The sequence below is a fragment of the Homo sapiens genome, chromosome 19 (assembly GCF_000001405.40).
Source record: "Homo sapiens chromosome 19, GRCh38.p14 Primary Assembly".
NCBI lineage: Eukaryota > Metazoa > Chordata > Mammalia > Primates > Hominidae > Homo > Homo sapiens.
Window position 1 is genome coordinate 33,359,165 of NC_000019.10, and position 24,599 is coordinate 33,383,763.

The 24,599-nt window shown below is 45.6% G+C and overlaps 1 protein-coding gene and 1 pseudogene across 2 annotated transcripts, besides 2 other annotated features; one reads left to right on the forward strand and one right to left on the reverse strand.

Moving 5' to 3' along the window:
• AKR1B1P7 (aldo-keto reductase family 1 member B1 pseudogene 7) lies at positions 962-2,301 on the reverse strand (annotated as a pseudogene).
• Positions 14,332-15,141: a silencer, noted in NCBI's record as "silent region_10497". NCBI's record gives its function as "represses an Ori minimal core promoter by ATAC-STARR-seq in GM12878 lymphoblastoid cells {active_cell/tissue: GM12878}" and the evidence as "EXISTENCE:reporter gene assay evidence [ECO:0000049][PMID:35858748]".
• CEBPG (CCAAT enhancer binding protein gamma) lies at positions 14,545-23,522 on the forward strand. 2 transcript variants are annotated; one of them, NM_001806.4, is made up of 2 exons: positions 14,545-14,731; positions 19,980-23,522. In NM_001806.4, the coding sequence occupies exon 2, from the start codon at positions 20,076-20,078 to the stop codon at positions 20,526-20,528; it is 453 nt and encodes a 150-aa protein (NP_001797.1). In that variant the 5' UTR covers positions 14,545-14,731; positions 19,980-20,075; the 3' UTR covers positions 20,529-23,522. The 2 variants fall into 2 exon arrangements, with proteins under 2 accessions (NP_001797.1, NP_001239225.1); NM_001252296.2 differs by lacking the exon at positions 14,545-14,731 and adding an exon at positions 14,949-15,449.
• Positions 18,639-19,332: an enhancer, noted in NCBI's record as "H3K4me1 hESC enhancer chr19:33868709-33869402 (GRCh37/hg19 assembly coordinates)". NCBI's record gives its function as "activates a minimal SCP1, AML or CMV promoter by ChIP-STARR-seq in naive and primed H9 embryonic stem cells {active_cell/tissue: H9 hESC(naive and primed)}" and the evidence as "EXISTENCE:reporter gene assay evidence [ECO:0000049][PMID:30033119]".
• Positions 23,523-24,599: the final 1,077 nt, after the last annotated feature.

Below are 24,599 nucleotides of genomic sequence, written 5' to 3' on the forward strand. Positions count from 1 at the left end.
AAACACCCCTACTTTGTATTCTCCCGGCACCCAGCGCTTATTCCCACTACGTGGAACATTCCTTACACTGTTTACTTCTCTCTCTCTCCAACTAGATGGAAGACACTCTGACAAACGGGGTCATTTCTTAATTATTATTTAACTCCAACATTTAGCCAAGTGCCTATCGCACAGAAGATGGATTATGGCTATCCGAAATGAACGAATAGCTCCTCTATTAGCCACAGAACTCAGCATCACCTGTGACCTTTTGTTTTAACTAAAGCTATTCACTCATTCGTTCATCTTATTGCGGTAAAAACACATATCATAAAATGTACCATCTTAGCCATTTTTAAGTATACAGCTCAGTAGTGTTAAGTGTATTTACATTGTTGTGAAGCAGAACTCCAGAACGTTTTCATCTTGCGGAACTGAAACTCTGCACCCACTAAATGATTCCCCATCTCTCTCCTGCTCCCAGGCCCTGGTAACCCCCATTCTGCTGCCTCTACGAATTTGACTGTGTTAATACCTCCTATACTGAAATCATTTGGTATTTGTCCTTTTATGCCTGGCTTATTTTATTCAACGTTTATCCAGGTTGTGGCAAGTGATGGGATTTCCTTCCTTTTTAAGGCTGCATAGTATTCCATTGTGTGTATATACTATATTTTATCTGTTCACCTGTGAACATCCGTGAACATCATATTTTTACCTGTCTGTGACTTTTTATGATGATTTTCTATAGTATTTAGAATTTTGGATTTTTTGCAAGTTTCTGATTCCACAACATTCAAATATACTATTACAAAGAATACATGCAAATATATGCTTTCTATAAATACAAAGGGCTTTTTAAAATAGAAGCTTTTGTTACTATCATAAAGTTGTTCACACTTTTTGAAATAAGAAGCTCTTTTTGTTCAAATGTTTTATATTTTAACATATATTTCACTGTATCAGTCCTTTTTTTTTTCTCCACAAAAACACTTTTTATTTGAGGCAAAGAGAAGTCTTGCTGAAGGGATTACAGTTCCAAGCAGCCAAAACTCAACTGTTAGTGGCACTATTTTGACCTGGTAGATGTTGCTTCTCTTTGGTCAGAAAAGGGTATTCAGGTTGTACTTTCCCCAGTGGGGCAAAAAGGAGGGCAAAGCAAACTGGAAGAGACTTCTACTCTATTGACAGGGCTCTTCAGATCCAACATCAAGCTAGACATGCCCTTGCTGGCCACTCTACAGGTTGCTGTCCCACTGCTGAGTGACACAGGCCATGCTACATTTGCAAGGAAAAAAATGAGACAGGAAACACAGGTATAGGTCACTTAGGGATGAGCAGGCATCCACAGCTTCAAAACTCTTCATGGAAGGGGTAATCCTTGTGGGAGGCACAGCTCACCAAGGCACAGACTCTCCAATTCCTGTTGTAGCTGAGTAAGGCGGTCATATCCTGGCTGTTCAGTTCAAAGTCAAAAACCTTAAAGTTGTCAGCAATGAGTTCTGGTGTCACAGACTTGGGGATCACACCCAAATTCCTCTGCATGGGGAACCGGATCAGGACCTGGGCTGTAGTTTTATTGTGCTTGGCTGCAATCGCCTTGATCCTGGGATCCCTCAGGAGGGAAGGGTCCTCGGGGTTGACCCAGGGCCTGCTGGGAGTGCCAACGGGGCTATAGGCGGTCACCACGATGCCTTTGGACTGGCAGTACTGGATTAACTTCTCCTGAGTGAGGTAAGGGTGGCACTCAATCTGGTTAACCACAGGCTTATACTTTAAGCCAGGTTTGTTTAAGAGCCTCTCCACTTGGAGGTGGTTGAAGTTGGAGATGCCAATAGCTTTCATCAGCCATTCATCCACCAGCTCTTCCATGGCTGCCCATGTGTCCAGAATGTTGGTGTCACTGGGAACCACATTACCCAACTCATTCAATGGAAAAATTCCCTCCCAGGCTTAAAGCCAGTCGGCCAATGAATAAGGTAGAGGTCCAGGTAGTCCAGCTTCAGGCTGCTGAGGGTCTTCTGGCAGGCTCCCTTCACCAGGCCCTTCCCATGGTATGTGCACCACAGCTTACTAACGATGAAGAGCTCCTCACGCTTTACCACCTGCTCCCTGAGCTTCTCCTGAATGGCCACCCCCACCTCATTCTCATGCTAGTACACGTGGGCACAGTCAATGTGGCAGTACCCGACATTGATGGCCACATTCACGGCCTCAGTCACCCGGCCTGGAGGGGACTTCCAGGTGCCCAGCCCCAGGATGGGCATCTTGGTGCCATTGTTGAGCACAAGGTGGCTGGCCATGGCTGCTGCGCTCCCTGGAATTGTTTCATACTGTCTTGTGTGCCTTGGAAGACTTATCTCCTGTTCTCTGCCATGCTAACCAGTGCTATGTATAACCCTGCCTAGTACAGGGTGGTGAGGGAGGGGTGCCTGTCTCTTCAGCACAAGGCTACTTCCACTCCCCACTCCCAGCAAAAGCTGATCTGACCGGAACAATGATCAAAAGTAGGAAAATAACATTGGCCAGGTGCAGTGGCTCATACCTGTAATCCCAGCACTTTGGAAGGCCGAGGCAGGAGGACTGTTTGAGCCTGGGAGTTTGAGACCAGCCTGGGCAACATAGCAAAACCCCGTCTCTACAAAAAATTTAAAAATTAGCCAGGTGTGGTGGCACATGCCTGTAGCCCCAGCTACTTGGGTGGTGGAGGTGAGAGGATCCCTTGAGCCCAGGAGAGCCAAGATTGCCCCACTGCACTCCAGCCTGGGCAACAGAGCAGGACCCTGGCTCAAACAAACAAACAAACAAAACCAAAAAACCCAAACCCACCAAAAAAAAAAAGACAAAAAAAAATTAAGGAAAATAACATTGACATAATACTATTAACAGACTTACAGATCCAATCTGATTATTTTCTCGTTTTCCCACTGATGTCCTTTCTGTTCCAGAATCCATTCTAGCAGCCTATGGGACATTGTTGTCATGTCCCCTTCATCTCCTCCACTACAGAGCAGTTTCTCAGCCTTTCTTCATTTTTCATGATGATATTTTTGAACAGTACTGGCAGCTATTTCATAGAATGTTCCTCAGCTTGAGTTTCTATGATATTTCCTCATGATCGGATTGAGACTGTGTATTTGGCAAGAATGCCACATGGGAGTGAGACTGTGCACTTCTTGGTGCATTGCAGCAGGGGGTCCGTGATGTCTCCGTGTTTTATTGCTGGTGATGTGAACTGTGATCACTTAGGCTAAGATGGTGTCTTCCAGGTGCACCACTGCGCCCAGCTAATTTTTAAATACGTTTTGTAGAGAAAAGGTCTTGCTATGTTGGCCAGGCTGGTCTCAAACTCCTGGCATCAAGTGATCCTCTTGCCTCGGCCTCCCAAAGTGCTGGGATTACAGATCTGAGCCATCATCCGGCAACTCTCTCACTGTTTCTACCCAGTTCCCATATACCTCTTGTAGGTAACCATCTCATTAGCCTCTGATTTATTCTTCCTGTACTTCTTTTGCAGATATGATCCCCTGCCCAAGTTTGATGGTAAATCAACAGGTGCAGCAGCCAAGACTTGAGAAGGACATGGTAATAGAGCATGCAGATTTCTCAGACATGAAGGTGTGGGTCACCCCACAGGTGAACTACTTAGACCAGGAGAGGTGTGCTAGCCAAGGGTGAGGGAATCTCGAATGGGTAGTAGGGGAGGCAGATGATGAAAACCAGCTATAGCCTTGAGGTCAGCTGTAGCAGTAGGAGCTGCTGTTCATCCTTCATCCCACTAGCTGTCCTCTTGGAGGCTTCTCCAGGAAAGGAGGCCATCCAGAATCCCAGAGAAGCTGTTCACTGATGGGATTAACTTACTACGTGTAAGTAAGAAGTGGATCCGAGTGACGCAAGAAGTGGATTGCAGTGGAGGTCATTGTGTGCCTCCCAGATCCCACATTCAGGTTGGAGGGACCCATTTCCCCAGCTGTGTTTTCTAAAGTCTCATAGGTACATAGCACAGTAATATGTATATACAACAGAGTCTTGCCAAGCACAGGGGCTCATGCCTGTAATCCCCATTTGTGGGGCTTAGGTGGGAGGATCACTTGAGCCTAGGAATTCAGGACCAGCTTGGCAACATATTGAGACCCTGTCTTTACAAAAAATTGAAAAATTAGCCAGGCATGGTGGTCCACAACTGTAGTCCCAGCTACTCAGGAGACTGAAACAGGAGTCTCTCTTAACTCTTCAGCCCAGGAGGTCAAAGCTGTAGTAGCAGGCCATGATGGTGTCACTGCACTCCAGCCTGAGTGACAGAGCAAGACCCTGTCTCTAAAGCACACACACACACACACACACACACACACACACACACACACACAGAGAGAGAGAGAGAAAGAGAGACAATCTTCTCTATAAGAACAAAGTATACACACAGGCCAGGACTGAGACTGGAGTTTGGGGAATGGGAAGGATTTGGATATATGGAATTGGGAGGAAATGGCCCACCAGATGGCATATCAGAATGAGGCGGGCATTTCCAGCTTTTCTTGATCATCCTCCACCTCCCTCTCCCTAGAAGGAAGAATCCTCCTCCTTCCCTCTCCCACTTCCCTCTGCCCTAGACACACTCCGATCTCACAAGCCATTCTGGCTGCTGCGACTTTTAGTTTTATCCGTCGTCTAGCTGAGATTAAACTGGAATGTTCCATTTGCTCTTTTGGCTCTCAAGTAGGCTCAGGGCTTCCCACCTATGGGTGCAGTTGGATCTTTTTCACTGTAACAGAACAAATGCTCTGACCTCCACCACAAAGTGTTTCTGAGGGTGCCCGGCCTTAGTGAGTTCCTGGGCACCCCCCATAATGTACCCAGGCCATTCATATTTAAGGCCCCCAAAGTCTCCTGAGGGCTTCAGTGGAGCCTCTGCTTCAGCTCCTTCTTCTTCTTCTTCACAAAGTTGATACCCCTATGCCAAGGGCACGGATTCCTGATTTTTACAAGAATCACTTCCTAGAGGCATCAAAGTGGTTTCTGCATTCACTCCAGTTCCCACTTGGCTGAAGGCACAGGGGATCGTTCACGGAGGTCGGGGGGAAAGTCACTCTCTTTGTAAGGACTACAAAACAGCACTTGTCTCTCCCCAAATCCCAGTTTCTTCTGCACCTCAGTTCCCCCCCAGAAACCTCTGCAAAGGAAAGACAACAACCCCACCTTCCTCTTCCAGCCAAAACCCCAACATTTATGCAAATAGACTGGCGACTCCACCTGCTAAACCCAAGTCAATATGAATCCCAGTTGAGGCTGACACAGGAACTGATTATTACCGTGGGAATCTAAACGAAAAATAAGATGAAAAAGGAGCAGTCACGGCGGCCTAGGAGTGGACGCAGATTCCTGACGCTAAGCACAGGGATTCTAGGCCACAAGCCCACCTGGCCTGGCTGTGTCTCCTTGGCCCTGTCTCATCTGTTGGGCACCAGCTCCCCCCTGCCCCCTTCTCCAGCCCCTTGGCTTGGTCCTCACAGGACTCCCAGAACTTGGGACAGGGCCTGGCTCAGAGCAGGAATTCAATCAACATCTATTGACTGAGACAGATGAAAGAGAATAGGAGAATGAGTGCCAGGGACAACCATGTCCCTCTGTCTGGGAAGCTTCTCATTTCCTTCTCAGCTCAGTCTTGTGGCTTCCAGGGGTTGACCTGGTGTTTGGACCTTCAGCGGAGGATGGGGCTTCCCCACTAGACCCAAAAATGGTGTCCTGGGCTTCTCCGTCACCCTGCAGTCTCAAAGTGGACCCCTCCACCTCCCCTTCCTTCTTTCTATCCCTCTCTCCTCCTGGAGGAGCTCCTGTAGATCTACTCTCCCTCTCTGCTCCATTTCTCTGCATGATTTGGGTTTGCCTGGCAGAAGCACAGTCACCGCTCGTGGACTGAGGGAGGGAGTGGGGCCTGAGGCTCTTCTGCTGCTTTCTTCTTTACCCATTTGGCTAAAATCTGGCCTGGGTTGTTAATGTTTTAAAACAGTACTGTTTTAGGTTAATGTTAAGACTGCAATGCATCCCAAATACTTAAAAAAATTTCTCAGAACTATTTTATTTTTAATTAATTATTGTAAGAGATAGGGTCTCGGTCTGTTGCCCAGGTTGGAGTGGGATGGCACTATCGCAGCTCACTGTAGCCTCGACCTTCTAGGCTCAAGCCACCCTCCCGCCTCAGTCTTCCAAGTAGCTGGGACCACAGGCACACGCCCATGCTCGGCTAATTTTTAATTTTTTTTTGTAGAGATGGGGCCTCACTATGTTGGCCAGGCTGGTCTCAAACTTGACCTCAAGCAATCCTCCCACCTCAGCCTCCCAAAGTGCTAGGATTACAGGCACTGTGCATGACTCAAAACAACTTAAGATTTATAAAAAATTGAGAAGGAGGTATAGATTTCCCAGTTTCACCTATTACTAACACCTTACATTCATATATTTGTTATAGTTAACGAAGATATATTGATACATTATCATTAATTGAAGTCCATTATTAAATATTGCCCGTACTTCAAATCTGGATTTCCTTAGTTTCTAATATCCTCTTTCTGTTTCAGGATCCCATCTAGGATACCACATCACATTTAGTCATCATGTCTCTTTAGGATCCTCTAGACCAGGTGTCCCTATTTCCTGAGCCACAGACCCATTAGCAACCGGGCTGCCCAGCAGGAGATGAGTGGCAGGTGAGCAAAAGTTACTGCCTGAACTCTGCCTCCTGTCTTATCAGCAGCGGCATTAGACTCGCACAGGAGCACAAACCCTATCGTGAACTGTGCATACAAGGGATCCAGGTTGCACGCTCCTTATAAGACTCTAATGCCTGATGATCTGAGGTAGGACAGTTGCATCCCGAAATGATCTCTCCTCCCCTCCTGCTCCCTATCTGTGGAAAAACTGTCGTCCATGAAATTGGTCCCTCTTGCCAAAAAGATTGGGGACTGCTGCTCTAGACTGTGATACTTTGTCTGACTTTCCTTGTTTTGATGATCTTGACGGTTTTGCGAAGTCTTAGGTAGGTATTTTACAAAATGCTGCTCTATTGGAATTTGGTGTTTTTCTTAGACTGGGGTTATGAGTTCTCAGGAGGAAGACCAAAGGGTAAAGGGCCATTTTCATCTTATCTTATCAAGGATACTTGCTATCAACACGGTTTATGACTGCTGATGTGGACTTCGATCACCTGCTAGTCTTTGTCAGGTTTCTGCACCATAAAGTTACTCTTTCTTCTCCTCCATATTCTACGCTTCGAAAGGAAGTCACTGTGTAGCCCACAGTTAAGAATCAGGGAGTGTAGCTCTCCAGCCTGAGGGCAGACTATCAATTATTTTGAGTTCTGCATGGGAGATTTGCCTCTTCTCTGTCATTTATACATTTATTCCATCATTTATTAACATCCGTAGGGACTCATGGATATTCATCTCATACTTTGGGTTATAATCCAATACTACGTTATTTGTTTTGCCACTCAAATAGTTCCAGCTTTGGGCACTGGGGGCACTTTCATTTGGCTCCTGTGGCCCTTTGATATAGTCTTATGGATGGAATGTTTATGTCTCCCCAAATTCATATGTTGAAGCCCTGCCCCACATGTGATGATATTTGGAGATGGGGTCTTTGGGAGGTAATCAAGGTTAAGATGAGGTCATGGGGTGGGGCACTCGGGATGGGATTAGTACCCTTATATGAAGACATGCTGGAGAATTCGGTCTCTCCCCACACAGACTCCCCAACAAGTGCACAAAGAAGAGATCATGTGAGCACACGGGGATATTGCAGCTACCTCCATGCCAAGAAAAGAGGCTTCAGAGTAAAATTTACCTCGCCAGCACCTTGATCTTGGACTTCCCAGCCTCCGGACCATGAGAAACAAAGTTGTGTTGTTTACGCCCTCAAGTCTATGGTATTTTGTCATGGCAGCCTCAGCTGACTGAGACACACCTCCCCAATTGCTTCACTTTCTGAGGACTTCCTTACTTTCTGGCACTGCAAGATGTTCCAGGCTCACCTTGTATATTTCCTGCCCCAGCCCTAGAATCAGCCACTTCTGTAAGGAGCCGGCTCCTGTTATTGGAGAATAGTATTGGAAACCAACAACAGGCTCCTAGGTAGCAAATTATTCTTGGATGGACACACTAGAAAACAGTTATTTTGTGCCTCCTATGTGCCAGGCACTATGCTAGCTCCTTTTCATGTTGGTTTACTTAATCCTCATAACAATTCTATGAAATATTTACTGTCAATCCTCCCCAGATGAGGACTGGAGGTGTAGCTGGGTTGAGTGCTAGCCAACACCACTCTGTTCTGTCTCCAAAGCCCATCACACTGCCTTGATAAAGACTGGTGTCACATACCTCACAAACACCATGTTTTTTTTTTTTTTTTTTTTTTGAGACAGATTCTCGCTCTGTCACCCAGGCTGGAGTGCAGTGGCGCTATCTCAGCTCACTGCAACCTCTGCCTCCTGGGTTCACGCCATTCTCCTGCCTCAGCCTCCCAAGTAGCTGGGATTACAGGCGTGTGTCACCATGCCGGGCTAATTTTTGTATTTTTAGTAGAGATGGGGTTTTGCCATGTTGCCCAGGCTGGTCTCGAATTCCTGGCCTCAAGTGATCCCAGATGGCACACATCTCTCCTTATGTGCAAAGATGACAGCCACCTGTGTGTGCACAGATGCATGCAGCTCTCCTCATGTGTGCAGGTGATATGTACCTATTTGCATGTGCTCACATACCTTTGTGTGCAGAGATGACATGTACTTATCCTTAAGACAGATGATGTGTCTCAACTCATGGAATAATGAAATCTGACAAACTGAAAAGTGCTTTAGAATGGACATTCACAGTACTTGCCAACTGCTCAAGCTTAGACCGTGTCAGATTTTTTGCTATCATCCATAGGACTCCCTTATGAGATGTGGGTATGTTCTAAGACAAACACTTAGCATCACAGCTGTTAGGATTTCAAACAGTGCTTCCAGAGATAAAACTGGAGGTTTACATTTTGCCCTCAAGCATGGGGATCATATCACACAAGAAAGAACAGATTAGTCAGCCAGGGTGAGTAAGGCTTCCATCAGAGCGACCACAGTGTGATCTGCCACTTGAAATGCCTATTGATGGGTTTGTCTGCCCAGCACTTCTTTTTCCTCCGAGATCAGCCCCTGCCAACCTCTCCAGAGCAGCCATGTTCATCCATCATGACCTGCTTTTAACACTTGATCATTCCTAGATGAGCACGTGACCCAGCTGTGCCAATCCAAGAGTCCTTGCCTAGGACTGTTGGAACAGGAACTTAAAATGAGAGTTGGCCCTTCTTTAGGGACTGAAGCTGTGAACACTGAGATTGTCATTGGCCGTGTGAAGAAGGTTTATGTGCCAGCAGAAAGCATAATGAAATCAACAGGAAGACACATACACACTTACACACACACACATACACACAGAGAGAGAGAGAGAGAGAGAGACAAAGACATCTGTTCTTGGTTCTGACATGACCTGGGTATTTCATGGAGTGGCCTAGCATCTTTCACCAAGGGCTTGCTTAATGCTTAGGCTAGTCAGGGATGGTTTTCACTTACTTCCAACCAAAGAGCCTTTACCAATGCAGAATGATTGATAATCATATTATCACCAACATACTGCAAGACATCAACTGAAACTCAAATCTGACGGACATTTTCCCAGCTCTCAAATATTACAGATACAGTCTGGATCTCCTGTCAAAGGTGGTTAACTTGGCTGTTTAGTTTTTCAGAAACTTTCCAAATATACATTAATTTATTTCAGTTTGCATAGTAAACTTCTATTGATCTGGCTTTCAAATACAAAAAAATCAAATTACTAAATTGTTCCTCCACTCTACCTTGTGGAAACAAATGAAATAAGGTGTGGTAACTAAGGAACTGCTCTAAAAATAACACCTTTTAGGATACAACATAGGGTCAACATCATGACCTTCAATATTTTGTGTGTTTAGTGCCTGAATCAGCAAAGCAGTATAAGCACAGCTTGGCCTCATTTTGCAGTGTGTTTTAGTCTACTATGATTCTATGGATGCAATTTGTTTATAATTCATGTATGAGCATCGTGGTAATAATAGCTAATACTTTTTTTATTTTTTGAGACTGAGTCTCGCTTGGTTTCCCAGGCCGATCTAGGCTCACTGCAATCTCTGCCTCCCGGGCTCATGTGATCCTCCCACCTCAGCCTCCTGAGTAGCTGGGACCATAGGCACATGCCACCCATCACACCCAGTACTTTGGGAGACCGAGGTGGGAGAATCATAAGCCCAGGAGTTTGAGACTGGCCGGGACAACATAGTGAGACTCCATCTCTAAAAATATTTCATCTCTCAAAAAATTTTAAAAATAAACCAGGTGTGGTGATGCACGTCTGTAGTCCTAACTACTTGGGAGGCTGAGGTGGGAGGACTGCATGAGCCCAGGAGTTCAAGGCTGCAGTGAGCTATGCTCATGCCATTGCACTCCAGCTTTAGCCTCCCAAAGTGGTGGGATTACAGGAGTGAGCCACTCTAGCCAGCCATGTAGCTAATACTTTTGAGGTACCAAGCAGGCACTGTTTTAGGGGTCTAGCACACTAATTCCTTTAATCCTCAGAGCGACACTGTTGTCTTCTCCATTTACAGATGACAGAGAGGTTAAGTAATTTGGCCAAGGCTGCACATCTAGCAAGCGGTGAAGCTGTGGACACTAGTGTTCATATCTCTTAGGTAACTAATGTAGTTAATCATAGTGGCTGTCAGGTAACTACAATATTCAATGAATACAACAGCCTACTTCCCAAGTCCTTTGGAGGGTTTTTTTATTTTAAATTTTTTTAAATTAAATAGAGATGAGGGGTCTCACTATGTTGCCCAAGCTGGTCTTGAACTCCTGGCTTCAAGTGATCCTCTCACCTCGGCCTCCCAAAGTGCTATAGAGGCTACTCAGTCTTTGGATTTGTAGAATATATATTGATTACTGTAAGGCAGAGAGATATGCAGGAAATTTTTCTTTTACTGTGATGGCTTGGATCCCTGTGACTTGTAAAAAAAGCTACATAGTAGACCTCCAAGGCTTCACCAGGCTCTCGTTTCCTTATGGAGAACAAATCTTTCGGAAGCTTCTATCTCTTAGGGTAAAAATCTGAATGTTTCTTGGGCCCACATGGCCCTGCCTATCTTGTTGGTCTCCACTTTACTTTCAGCCACTTTAGCCTTAAATTTCTCCCATCACAGGGCCCCGGACAAGAATTCCCTGTGACTGCTGCACCCACGTCCTCTGTATTGCCTAGCCAAATCCTGTCAATTTTTCAGGCTTCCCCGGACCCATCAGACTAGGTCTGGTTCGCTTCTGATTTCTCACAGCGTCTTGTACTGCTTTCTTGTAGTATCTATGAAAATGGTAATTGAAAAATTGTGGACCAGGGGAGGTAGCTCATGCCTGTAATCCTAGCACTTTAAAAGGCCGAGGTGGGTGCATCACTTGACCTCAGCTGTTCGAAACCAGCCTGGGCAACATGGTGAAACCCTATTGCTACAAAAAATACAAAAATTAGCCAAGCATGGTGGCGCATGCCTTGTAGTCCCAGTTGCTTGGGAGGCTGAGGTGGGAGGATCACCTGAGCCCAGGAGGTCCAGGCTGCAGTGAGCCATGCTTGCCCCACTGCACTCCAGCATAGGTGACAGAAAGAAAAATTGTGTAATTACCAAACGCCTGTCTGCCTGGCTGTAAGTGTAAGTTCCATGTGGGCAGTGACTGTGTGTTTGTCTTGCTCATTGCTGAATCTCCAACACTTAGCCTACGGCTTAGTACATAGTTGGCACCAAATGCATACTTGTAAACTGAGTAGAAGAAAAACTACCAGCTACCAGCTGAAAAGAAAATAAATACCCGAGTGTCCTGGGCACTGACTAGACTTGCTGGGTGTGTAAGAAGGCCTGCCCAGACACAGATACAAAGAATGCTGGAACAGCTTGGCAGGGCGGTTTGCAAACCAAAGGATAACTGAATATACCTATGCAAGTTCTTTTTTTTCCCCTTACACATTTTTCTTTTTTCTTTTCTTTCCTTTTTTATTTTTATTTTTTTATTTTTGAGATGGAGTCTTGCTGTCACCCAGGCTGGAGTGCAGTGGCGTGATCTCAGCTCACTGCCAACATTTGCCTCCCGAGTTCAAGCAATTCTTCTGCCTCAGGCTCCCGAGTGGCTGGGATTACAGGCACCCGCCACCACGCCTGGCTAATTTTTATATTTTTAGTAGAGACAGGGTTCCACCATGTTGGCCAGGGTGGTCTCAAACTCCTGACCTCAGGTGATCCGCCTGCCTCGGCCTCCCAAAGTGCTGGGATTACAGGCGTGAGCCACTGTGTCTGGCCCCCTTACACATTTTTTAAGTGATTAGGAAATATTCAGGGTAAAATTATGATTTTGTGAGCAATAAATCACAATCCTATTTTAATAGTACTAAAATCTTGATCAAAGCAAGTTCAGGCAGGACTTGGTTACTCACACCCTTAATCCCAGCAATCTGGGAGGCCGAGACAGAAAGATCACTTGAGCCCAGGAGTTTGAGACCAGAGTGGACAATATGGTGAGACCTTGTCTCTACAAAACATTTTTAAAAAATTAGCTAGGTGTGGTGGTGCATGCCTGTAATCCCACCTACTTGGGAGGCTGAGGTGGGAGGATGGCTTGAGCCCAGGAAGTCGAGGCTGCAGTGAGCTGTGATCAAGCTGTGGCAGTGCCATTGCACTCCAGCTGGGGCAACACAGCAAGATCGTCTCAAAAAAAAAGAAGAAAAGAAATTTAAGCTGAGAATACTGAGAGCCAACGTGAAGAAACACACTTGTTTCAATGACACTTATTCTCCTAAGTGTGCATCTGTGAGCATTATTACCTGTTTTTTTTTTTTTGGAGACAGGGATCTCATTCTGTGGCTCAGGCTGGAGTGCAGTGGCTCAATCTCAGCTCACTGCAACCTCCGCCTCTCAGGCTCAAGCCATCCTCCCATCTCAGACTCCAGAGTAGCTGGGACCACAGGCACAGCGCCACCACACCCGGCTAATCTTCTGTATTTTTGGTAGAGATGGGGTTTTTCCATGTTGCCCAGGCTGGTCTCTAATTCCCGACCTGAAGTGATCAGCCTGCCTCGGCCTCGCAGAGTGCTGGGATTACAGACCTGAGCCACCGCGCCCAGCCCATTGTTCACCGTTGTGACCCCTTTTAATTTTTATTTATTGCTTTATCATCTTACTGATTCCTCGAAACAATCTTACGGGGCGAGCCGGTTCCATGGGCGCTGAAGAAACATTTCCTCTTTCAAAGCCTCAATTGTTTGAACGATACGCGTTGCTAAAGAGGAAGCAATTAAACCTATCAGGCGAGTTCTGCCCTCCGCCCAGCGAGCTGCTGCTTCCTGGTGTTAAAACGCTTTCGGGGCCAGGCGCGGTGGCTCACGCCTGTAATCCCAGCACTTTGGGAGGCCGAGGCGGGCGGATCACGAGGTCAGAAGATCGAGACCATCCCGGCTAAAACGGTGAAACCCCGTCTCTACTAAAAAAATACAAAAAATTAGCCGGGCGTAGTGGCGGGCGCCTGTAGTCCCAGCTACTTGGGAGGCTGAGGCAGGAGAATGGCGTGAACCCGGGAGGCGGAGCTTGCAGTGAGCCGAGATTGCGCCACTGCACTCCAGCCTGGGCGACAGAGCGAGACTCCGTCTCAAAAAAAAAAAAAAAAAAAACGCTTTCGGGTTCTCCTGGCGAGTTTTAAGTCACACTGGATCGCTGCTTATTTTCAGAGATCACCTCGCACCCATGCACCTGGAAGGCACCCAAAGAGAATCATTTTAAGAAATTCACTTCATCTCACCCTAACAACAAAGCACAGCCTGCAGCACATGGATTTCACCCATGTGACATCAATGCTAATCCTATGTGTGAAACATCTGGGTTCATTCGATTTTTTAAAAATTAGTAACTGAGATGGGGTCTCGCTATGTTGTCCAGGCTGGTTCTCCAACGCCTGGGCTCAAGCCATTCTCCCGCCTCGGCCTCCCTCGGCGCTGAGATTATAGGCGGGAGCCACCGCGTCAGCCTCCACTCTTTTTGCGGCGACAAAGCCCGCCCGCCTGCGGGGCGTTCCGTTCGCAGAAACTCTGTGAGGGACGCCGCGGGGGCTTCCAAGGGACGCGGCGAAACCAAAACAGTCGCCGGTGGTTCACAAAACCACCTCAGAAAATGCTTCCAAAGGCACGTCTGGCCTCCACAAGGTGACGGCTTTTCAGCCTCCGACTCGAACTTGAGTCGTCCACAGCACTAGGCCGCCGCCAGCCCGGGCGAGCTGCCTAGGGACCGCGGACGCCGCAGCAAGCAGCTCCCTGCTCCCGCCACACCCGCCGAGCCAGCCGCGCGGAACCCACTCCCCCACCGTGGGCCCGCCTCCCGCCGCCAGCCTGCCCACGATTGGTCGACTGGGCTGCCCGTCGCGAGAGAAGGCGGTGCCTCCGGCAGGCCGGCGCTCCCATTGGCCGGGATGGCGGCGGCGGCGCGCGCGGCCCCGGCGAGCAGGGGAAGCCGGTGGCCGCGGCTGCGGAACGGGCGGAGGCTGCCGGTTTCGTAACCGTCGCTCCTCCTCGCTGACTCGCGGGCTGTGAGGCCTGGGTCGGCTCGGGCCGCACCGCGCGGGGCCGCTCGGAGTGGAGGCCGCCTGGGGGCAGGCGGGCTAGAGGAGCAGGTAAGGAGGCTGCGGCGGGCGCCCTGAGAACGGGGAGGAGGAGGCCGCGGCGACGCCGGCCGCTCGACTGGGTGCGGGCCCGGCTCGGGGAAACCCAGCCCCGGCCCCAGACGGCCCGCTGGCCCGGGAAGGCCACGCGAGGCTGGAGGCGCGGGCGGCGGCGCCGCGCGGCGTCTGATGCAACCTGCCGGCAACACCCGGCGGGGACGCTGAGCTCATTCCTGGCCGCGGCCCAGCGCTGCGGCGCCGCCCGTCGACCCCCGCGCTGCCCGGGGCGCCCCTCGCGGCGGGCCGGGAGCGCGCGAACGGCCGGGGAATGCCCCCTGCGGAGCCCGGCCCCCTCTCGGTGAAACGGGCGCTGTGACCCGCCAGGCTCGCATTGGCCCCTGGGGATGAAGGGTGTTCCCAGAATAGCAGAAGGTGGACCGAGTCGAGCTTTAGAATCCTGATCTTCTAGAAGGGCTCAGCTTGCGGTGATCGAAAATCTGTTCAGAAGTTCAAAGACTGATCAATAAAATAGGGAAAGCAACTGGTTTTTAAATGCATGACTTTGCAGAGATAATATTTTGCTTCTTTGTGGAGCTGTTGGAATGTCCTGCACTTTACTGTTGAACGTAGTTTAGAAGAACACGCAACACCTACGGGTCGAATAGAGAAGAAATGAAGCACTTCGCAGGCATAGTTGGAGGGAGCGGAGCAGGGCCGACAGCCAGCGGAGGTGACCAGATGCGAAGGATGGAAATGCATGTGTCGCGGGGGGAGGAGAGTGTTTTCCAGGGCAGCTGGTGTGTTGCTTCTCTTCCGCAGGTTTACGTGTTGGGTTTTCCTCTTGTTTGAAGTTTATACTGTAATCTGGCATCCTGAAATGTATAAGATTTAGAAAGGTCTCAATGTTGATGGGTGACACCAAAATTGGTAGTTGTGTCAGAATTGACTGCTTATATGAATAGGTTGTCACTTAAGGCAGACTTCTCCCAAAGAAATGTGACTCCCAGAGAAAATTTTAAAAGAAAATCCTATAAGGGCTTGCTTTACGAAGACATTCTACACCTAGAAGCTCTTGATATTTAAGATGTGGTCATCTGTTAGCCCTTGAGTAGTATTTGGGATAAGCTGTTCATAAGGTCGATTCTGCTTCTGGAAAAAGTTGCTGTAAACAAGGCTAAATAATTACAGGGTACAAGGGAGCTGAAGCATATTTCAGCTTCTTGATTCCTGCTTTTGGTGGGCACACTTGGCTGGTTCAGTTATTTTTAATACCTGCTTTTAAAAAAAGTAGATGGAAACAAAACTTCATTGAGAATATCCTTTAAATTCTCAAGATCACATCATGTCTGTCTGCAAGGCTGTCTGATCTTGGAGAGATGGTTTCATCCCTGGGAAATTAAACACTATGTGCTGAGCCCCTGGTAAAGACAAATAGGACCTCGTGGGGCTGAATTTGGTCTCGTGGTCTAAGATTGCCTCACTTGGTCACAGTAATGGTAAATACAGGTAGCCACGATTCCAGCTGTATTGTGCGTTCTTGGGAGGGTTGGTTCCATGGGTTGTTATATTGATAGGTACACTGGCCTCCTGCGTTTGTGGCTTTCTAGCTCTATCAGTAAAAAAAAGACAAAAATGAGCATGACCTCCTAATGGATGTTCATTTACAAATAGTCTATTTGTTTTGTGTGTTGTAAATCACTTCAAAAGGATTGGGTTAGAAAGATGATGTTGATGTTCTTCTAATGCTCCAGTGACCCACTTCTGTACTCCCAGAAAGGGGACGTCCCCTTCCTCATGGACCCTGCGCTAGATGCTTGTGAAGATCTGCAGGGAGACACGATGCGGCTGGAGTTGACAGACCTAGGGAACAAATTTTCCCAGATGCCCAAAGAAAAGAGAAAGCACAGACCATTTAGGATACAGATAGTGGTTTAGTACTGTCAAGATGTGGTGTGAGGGAGGAGAGAGGGTCAGGACCTTGGATTTGATCCTGTAGACTGGAGCCAGAGATGAATTTTCACCAGGAGAATGACTCACTCAGGTTTGAGTGTTCAATTGCTCTGGAGACAGAGGTTGGAGGAAGCAGGCTAGACCAGAGACCAGTGTCCCTGAGAGATGATAGTGGCCTAAGGTGATTTCGATGGGATTGGGATGGAGAGGAAGAGTAGATGGGAAGTTTTTTTTTTGTTTGTTTTAGGTGGAATTGTCAAATCCCAGAGACTAAACAGAGTTAGGACCAAGGAGAAACATCTGTGACTATTTTGAAATGTTGACCTTCATTGAGGAAATCGAGTGAAAAATTTATTTTGGTGGGCAAGGGGAGGAATATTGGGTTCTAGGTCTGTGGAGAAAAGGGACAAAAGGGTTAGGAAAATTCTTGATAGGTTTATTTTCCCAGGTGAAACTTGAGAAAAATTTGATTTTGTTTTACTCATTCTAACATTCTGCGCTTTCAGTGTGACTGACGTGAATGAACATTACTTGAATTAAGTTTGAATTAAAACAAAGCCTATTACCCACTTAGTCCACCATTCTCAATATTCATTGGGAATCAGCAGCAGAGGCCCTCAGACTTCAGTGTATTCAGAGTTACTTGGAGGTCTCCTTATGAAAAGATTACTCAGCTCTGTTCTTAGAACTCCTGATTCTAAGTCTGGGGCAGCCTGAGAAGTTACATTTCTAAAGAGTTCCTGGATGATGATGATGCTGGTCCAGGGACCACACTTTGAGAACCACTGCTCTTCAGCTTTCCTGCTGTTTCCTCCTTGAGTGATTCACATGGAAGGAAGCCAGGCGCCGCCCTGCATCCTGTAGCCTGAACTTTGGAATAGTGTTTGTCCACAGAGGAGCCAGACTTGAATTTAGGACTGAGTGTCCAGCTTTCAAATAAACACTTTTTGCCTGTTGTAGGTGTTCAGTAAATGTGTGTGGAGGAACAAAGCGTAAATGAGAGTGGCCTTTTCAGTGTAAAATCACTTAGCTCTTTGATCCCCTTTTACTTGGTTAATCTTCACTTTAAGAGCTATTTATATGGTTAAAGAACTTACTAAACAAAACATTCTTGGAGTTATTTTGATTATCTCCAAGTTTCTCTTTCTTACATTTTCACCAGTTTGTAGGTTCAGTGAATACTCTTTTCAGGCCAAAGGGCTTACCTTTAAAACCTCACCTACCACACACGTTCAGCCTAGTACCTTGCAAGATGAGTCAGGCAGAGGTGAAAAAGCCCTTCCCTGTTCCTGTATCTTTGGATACGGAAACAGGCGTGAACGTTGCTGAACGTGGACCCTGTAGTGAGTAAGAGCTGTTTGTTAGTGACTGAAGGTCGTGGTGTGTTGTCTGTAGGAAAGTGTCTTACTATTCCACATCCCTCATTTGCATGTGGGGAACAGACAGCCATGGAAGAAAAGAGATTTGCCCAAACTAAAATAGGGGGAGCCACAGCCAAGACAAGAACTGGCCTGGTCACTGGTCTCTACCGCTTTGGATCATTGCTATCTCTGAGCATGGACAAGTTGACTGTAGAGAGCTTTAAAGGCTAAAAATATAATTGGTATATTAAAAAAAAAGTAGAGAAATAAGGTGAACATGATTATGATTGTTAAGACAGTCTCAGGGGAGGTGTTAAACAAGTTCTTAAAAATTGAGTAAAGCACCTCTCACTTGACACCAAATGGATAATAATAATGTTAGGTGGCACTAAATGTGGCTCAGATTAATACTAAACAGCCACTTTTCTACTGGAAGAAAAATGAGGCAACCTAATGATGACCAAGGGAAATTGTGAACTGTCCATTACTGAAGATAGGCTTGGAGTGGATCGCCCTCATGGTTTGGAGGGATGCTTTTTGTCTTGCCTTAGTGTTGGCGTGAGAACAGATGACCTACTAGCTCAGAGTCGGCTGTGTGGCTTTGAAAACAATGGAAAGTAATGACACATGGACTTTTCAAAGCAAAGATGTTTTTTAAAAAGAGACCAATAAACAGTGTACAGAATTGCCTGGCTGAAGGTTTGGGTGTAGCTACTGGTGTTTGCTAACTGAGCTTTCCCTCATTGTGGGATCACTGCATAAATCTGACTCCAGATTTTTTCCACTGATGTGATTTTAGCAGTTTTGTGAAAAGAGAACAGGATAGTTTTATGTTCCTAACACTGCTTTCTAAATTTCTAAGAGTGCCCTGATTCCTTGGTGGACACCGTTCACTGAACTTAGTTTGTCTTGAAGTGGCCTCATGTTGATAGGATAGTCACACTTTTACACTTCTTGGGGCAGCTGTAGGGACTTAATTGGATTCAGAGTAATCCACATGTGACTGCTTTTCGAAACCGTGCCTTCATTTCTGCAGGCAGCAGCACAGGGATGCTTCAGAGCTGGTGCGTCCTCCGAGCTCACACGAGCTCATTTGGTAGCACGAAGTGGCCACAGGCACGGCAGCTGCTCAGCTCCTTTGTCCAGCCTGGGTCCCAGGACCCGCACTTCCTTGGATGCATCATGAGGGCTTCTGTTTCTTTCCTTGTGGTTTCAGGTTGAGTGTGTTTTGAGTTTTACTAATTATGTCAAGAAGAAAAAACACACTTTTTACAAGCTTGGTGGGATGGGGAGCAAATTGAGTGTCAGAGCTCCTAAATTCAAGAAACTGACTCAGTAAATTTGGTTAAACTGTGGAATTATCATTTGAGGTCATTAAAAAAATAAAGCAAAAAACTACCTTTTCAAAATATCCGATGAAGAGAGCTCTGGGAGAGAACTCAAGTCCTCGATGACTCCCTCTCTGCATATTAGAACATGGAACCCGCAGGGGTGATAGCATGAGAGCGCTGGAGACAGGGTGCGCAACCCCAGCCTTCTGTTTTGACTTGAACCAACAATGGAAACTTTTCCCCCCTTTCATTGCAGGTGTCTCTCCTACTACAGTCAGCTGCAGCTCCTCCCTGGGAGATTGTCAAGTGCTGTTAGTTCACATGCGCCACCTAATTAGTGGAAGTCTTTTGTTTTCCTCCCATTTTTGATAACAATCGCAGAGGGGCAGTGCCCTCAGGGATCCAGGTGGGCTGAGTTTCGCCTGATGGTGCTTCTGTGCTTACTTACCTTTCTAAGTGAAATGATTTAGACTTCAGAAACATTGGAACAGTTGGCAGTTGCTGTAGACTTTTCTCAGCAGAATCAATTAATGTTGGCCTGATGTTAGGTACGTACAAGTTTGATCTCATTTGATCCTGTCATTTCAAATATTTTAATGCAATTTATTTTTTAACTAGGTACATGTGAAGATTTTTTGGCAGCTTAGCGTGGAAACCATTGATCACCCTGCTCTCATTTCTACCTGTTCTGTGTTGGCAAGGGAGAGTGCCCAAATGAGCAAGATATCGCAGCAAAACAGCACTCCAGGGGTGAACGGAATTAGTGTTATCCATACCCAGGCACATGCCAGCGGCTTACAGCAGGTTCCTCAGCTGGTGCCTGCTGGCCCTGGGGGAGGAGGCAAAGCTGTGGCTCCCAGCAAGCAGAGCAAAAAGAGTTCGCCCATGGATCGAAACAGTGACGAGTATCGGCAACGCCGAGAGAGGAACAACATGGCTGTGAAAAAGAGCCGGTTGAAAAGCAAGCAGAAAGCACAAGACACACTGCAGAGAGTCAATCAGCTCAAAGAAGAGAATGAACGGTTGGAAGCAAAAATCAAATTGCTGACCAAGGAATTAAGTGTACTCAAAGATTTGTTTCTTGAGCATGCACACAACCTTGCAGACAACGTACAGTCCATTAGCACTGAAAATACGACAGCAGATGGCGACAATGCAGGACAGTAGACCTCACCCTTTCCAGACTTTAGAGCTTGTGGCTTGAATGTTAAAGGTGTGACCACCGACACCACTCATGTCAATGGCTGAAAGTTGTCCATTTCCATGACTCAAAGACCCATTGGAGGCTATTTTCTGGGATCAGCACTGAAGAGTTGATTAGCTAAAAATGTTAGCCTTGTAATTCGAATATCTGGTTTTAAATGATAGAGGTTTTTGTGGGAATCAAAATCCCCCAAATGTTAAGGTATATGGTAAAAAAAGAAATATCTGGGATCCCGATGTTCTTAATAAATCCTGACTTCCCAAGAAATGCTTCTTTTTTAAGTTGACAAAAGGAATGGGGAACTGGCAGGCCGCGCAGAAGGTTCTTGGTTTTAATGGATAGGCTGAATTGGATTAAGAAAAGTTGAATGCCACCTATGGTAATCTATTTGTGATTTTCTTCTAAATTATGTATTATAAATTCGTAGAGCTATAGAAAGCAATGAGTGTGTAATTTGGAGTGATTTTATATATGGCATAAACTTTGTTTTAACATAATTAGTACTGTTTTCCCCCAAAAGTACAAGTTTTTGAGTAGCAATGTCAGGTTAAGTAAAGAAACTTCATCACATCTTATAGGTAGTGTGTGGCCAATTGACTTAAAAAATACAAATAACATTTAGGAAGCAAATAGATTAAACACAAAAATAAAACTAAAGCATAGGAATTATGTTTTTGAGATACCTTTGGGCTTAGATTGGCATTGTTTTATTCTAAAAACCCAACTCAGTGGTGTAGAGAAACTTGTGTACCAAAATTTTAGTTTCTGCAGATGCTAGTGTTTTTTTGGATACAATTTTGACAACCAAGTTAGTAAACAAAATATCTTAACAGTTTGATGACACAAGCTACTGATGAGGGTTTGGAATATTAATTCAGAAGGTAGTTTCTCTTGTGTTCAAAATAGCTGCCATGGGGCTGTTACTTTTAAAGTCAAAATTTTCTTCTGAAGGCTCATTTTGGTATTTGATCTTAACCAAGTGATTATTAGAGAAATGTATCAACTCCATGCCATCTCCCAAAATAATTGTCTAAGAAAACTTGAAAGTGTAAGGTTTTAACCTTTAATTTATTTCTCTTAAATACATCTTTTGATATTGTTGTTGTGACATTTCTTTTTCTGGTTAGTGGGCTTTCCAGACTTTGTACCACTGCTTCTGTTTATTCATTTATATGCTTTTGTGTCCCATAAATTATTTCAGAAAATGCTGATAAAACTCAGGATATTGACATTTTTGTTGAGACTAAAAAATGGCAGTCGCTAAAGTAGGGACTCTAGAGTCTGGCTTACGTCAGTGTTGGTAGTTTAGATTGTCTTTGTCAACGTTTTTTCTTCTCTCTTTTGCTTTCTTTTCTTTCTCTTTTTTTCTTAGCACAGTTCTAGCTCAAATTTGTGTATTTTTTGTGTGCCTGGGCTGGAGATGAGAGACTGAGTCATAACTGATTTAAAAGTTTGTGTTATCAGGTATCTTATTTGAACATGGTCATTTTTGGCCACATTGCTGTTTCATACTAGGACTTGGGATGATGTAGCCAGAATAAAACTCAAGTTGCACCCTCCGGTTGGTGGAAGATTGCTGACCGTGCCGTTTCTGGGCAGGAGAAGACATCATGGTGTCCAGCAACTCAGCAAAGCCATTCTTAAGAGTCGTGAGGTCCTTCTGAATGTAAAACTGGAGCCCAGGAGAAGCTGTCCCAGGAGGGCTGTTAACTCCCTATAGAGCCAGGAGACAGGATAGGGGTTTCTAGGGTCCAACACCAGCTTACCTTGGAGTATGAATCTACCCATGAAGGATGAGAGATGTTTTGAAAAACTAGCCAGGACACACCCACAGGATCCTACTGGCTCCTTAGCAGCTGATTGGTGTTACATAATTAACTTAATTGGAGATGCATTAGGTCACTTGAATGTATAAGCAAGCACCTATGGTAGGCGCTACAGACATTTAAATCTCTTGGGAATTCGATGCTCCCATGGAATTTATACCAGTTATATGAATTGACTTAAGTATCTTGAAAAAGAAACTTTAGAGAAAGCATCAGGGGTGTGTACTCAGTATTTCAAATCAGAACACAAGATTGGAACTTTTGGAAAAATGGGTTCAAGCTTTCCTATTAGCCATGGAAATGCAAAGTTTAGCAGAAGCAAGCAATTAGGCAGAGAACAAAAATGTTAAGCATGGTGTTGTCTATCTTATTGAAGTGGTTGGAAATGAAAGCTTTTAATTTGATAGATTTATCAGTATAAAATTAGGGAAACCACGTGTGGGGAATGAATCAATTTAGAGCTTCGGGAATTGTGAGGTGACTTTTGTAACTTTTGTTCTGTGTGTGACCTGTGAACCACTAGGATGTGATCTGCCCTTGTGGGCAGGTCCAGCATAGTTAGGAGTTAGGCTTTAGCATAAATTTCTAGCTGCATCTGAGTCTCCTGGGATGGGTGCTCTTTGGCTGGTTTTGGCTGCGGATGGTGAGATCAGAGCAGCTCTTCCTGCTGCTGGCCCCTGCAATCAGTTGTTGGGATGCCAGTGCAGATCACTAAGTAGTAAGATTTTAATCAAACACGACCAGGTCCGAAATGCAGGTCATGAGTGTGAAATTCTCAAATTTACATAAAAAGTAGAAGTATAGACAGTTTAACATTTGGTATTAAAGGAGAGGAAATTGTAGCAGCTTTTCACGTTTCCCAGTCCCCATTAGAGGGCTTGAGACCTTGTACCTGAACAACCCATTTTGCACTCAGTGCTTTCTGATGCCTTAGGAGAATTGTTTTGTTTCACAAAAGCTGGGAAGGAAGAAGTCCATTCTGCAGCTGTTAGATCTGCCTCTCAGGAAAAAGTACTAACTTGTTCTTTTTGTTCCTGGCTTTCATCAGTTTGTGAGATTTCTCTATTTTTTTTAAATATAATTTTATTTCTTTCAACAAATATAAAATAAAAAACAACTTTGGAACAATGACTTGTCTTTCATCGTGGCTTTCTTTATATTAGATACCAAAAAGCAGTCCAGATGTTAAACAGCTGGGAAGCCCAGGCAGGTGCCTTGCTGTCTTTCCTGTTCCCACACTGGACGGCTGGGGGTAGGGGTGGGGAAAGTGGGGAGACAGGCAGAGGTATTTGTGTCCAAGTCTAGATCTCCCCGTTTGCCCTTAGTGGATAGGAAAATAGTTTTCTCTGAACATGGGATACATCTTTAGTTATATTTTTAGTCACTTGGTCTAAACTAAAAATTATACCAGAATAGGGAAAGGAATAACTGAATAAATGGGTTCCCGCTTAATCACCTAGTGTCTCAGAACATGGTTTCCATTTAGAGAGGGAAGAAATTCTTATGTTTCGAGATAGATAGTCAAGAATTTAAAGTAAGGCCTTTCCCCATCTGGAGTTTTGTAGTACATGTGGACACTGTCCTCATTTACGTCATAGAGTGTCTGTAGAGATGAATTTGCTGATTTCATAAACTGTTGAGTCCAGGGAGCTGATGTGAATTGAATATTTCAAGGGAATGCCATTTAAATGCTTTTCTTCTCTGATGCCTCAATTATTTTCATGTCTTGGGAAATAAATCTCTGCTTGCTGCATCTTAATGAAAAGTGGAGGTCAGGAATTATTTCTATGGGAAGTGTGGCCCGTTTCACTTTTTTGAATTAGTTGTGATTTAGAATCCAATAACGTGTCTTGGGGAATTTTACCGAGTGATGACATCTTTGTGAGGGGGGCCGGTCTTTTTCTGACAAAAGCACTTTTAGACCAGCTCATCCACTGCCTGTGCCTAGCCAGAGAGTTCATAAGCGTTTTACAGTTTTACATACATTCAGAGAACACCATTGCCTAGGTATTCTTTTACTGCAGTATCCCACTCCTCACAGAGCTCTAGGCCTGAAAGCTGTATAGAGGCATCTAGAGAAATGGGGGTTATAGAATTGGACTTGGAAAAGGAATAGGATTGTCAGTGAAACAGTCACGCGTTACACTTTTTGCAGCCCAAACGCCACCTCTTGTCCCTCCCTGTAAAGAAGCTGTTAAAACCAGATGC

Bases quoted from the DNA above. Each gene is read 5' to 3' on its own strand.
- CEBPG (NM_001806.4), top strand. From the start codon at position 20,076: ATGAGCAAGATATCGCAGCAAAACAGCACTCCAGGGGTGAACGGAATT.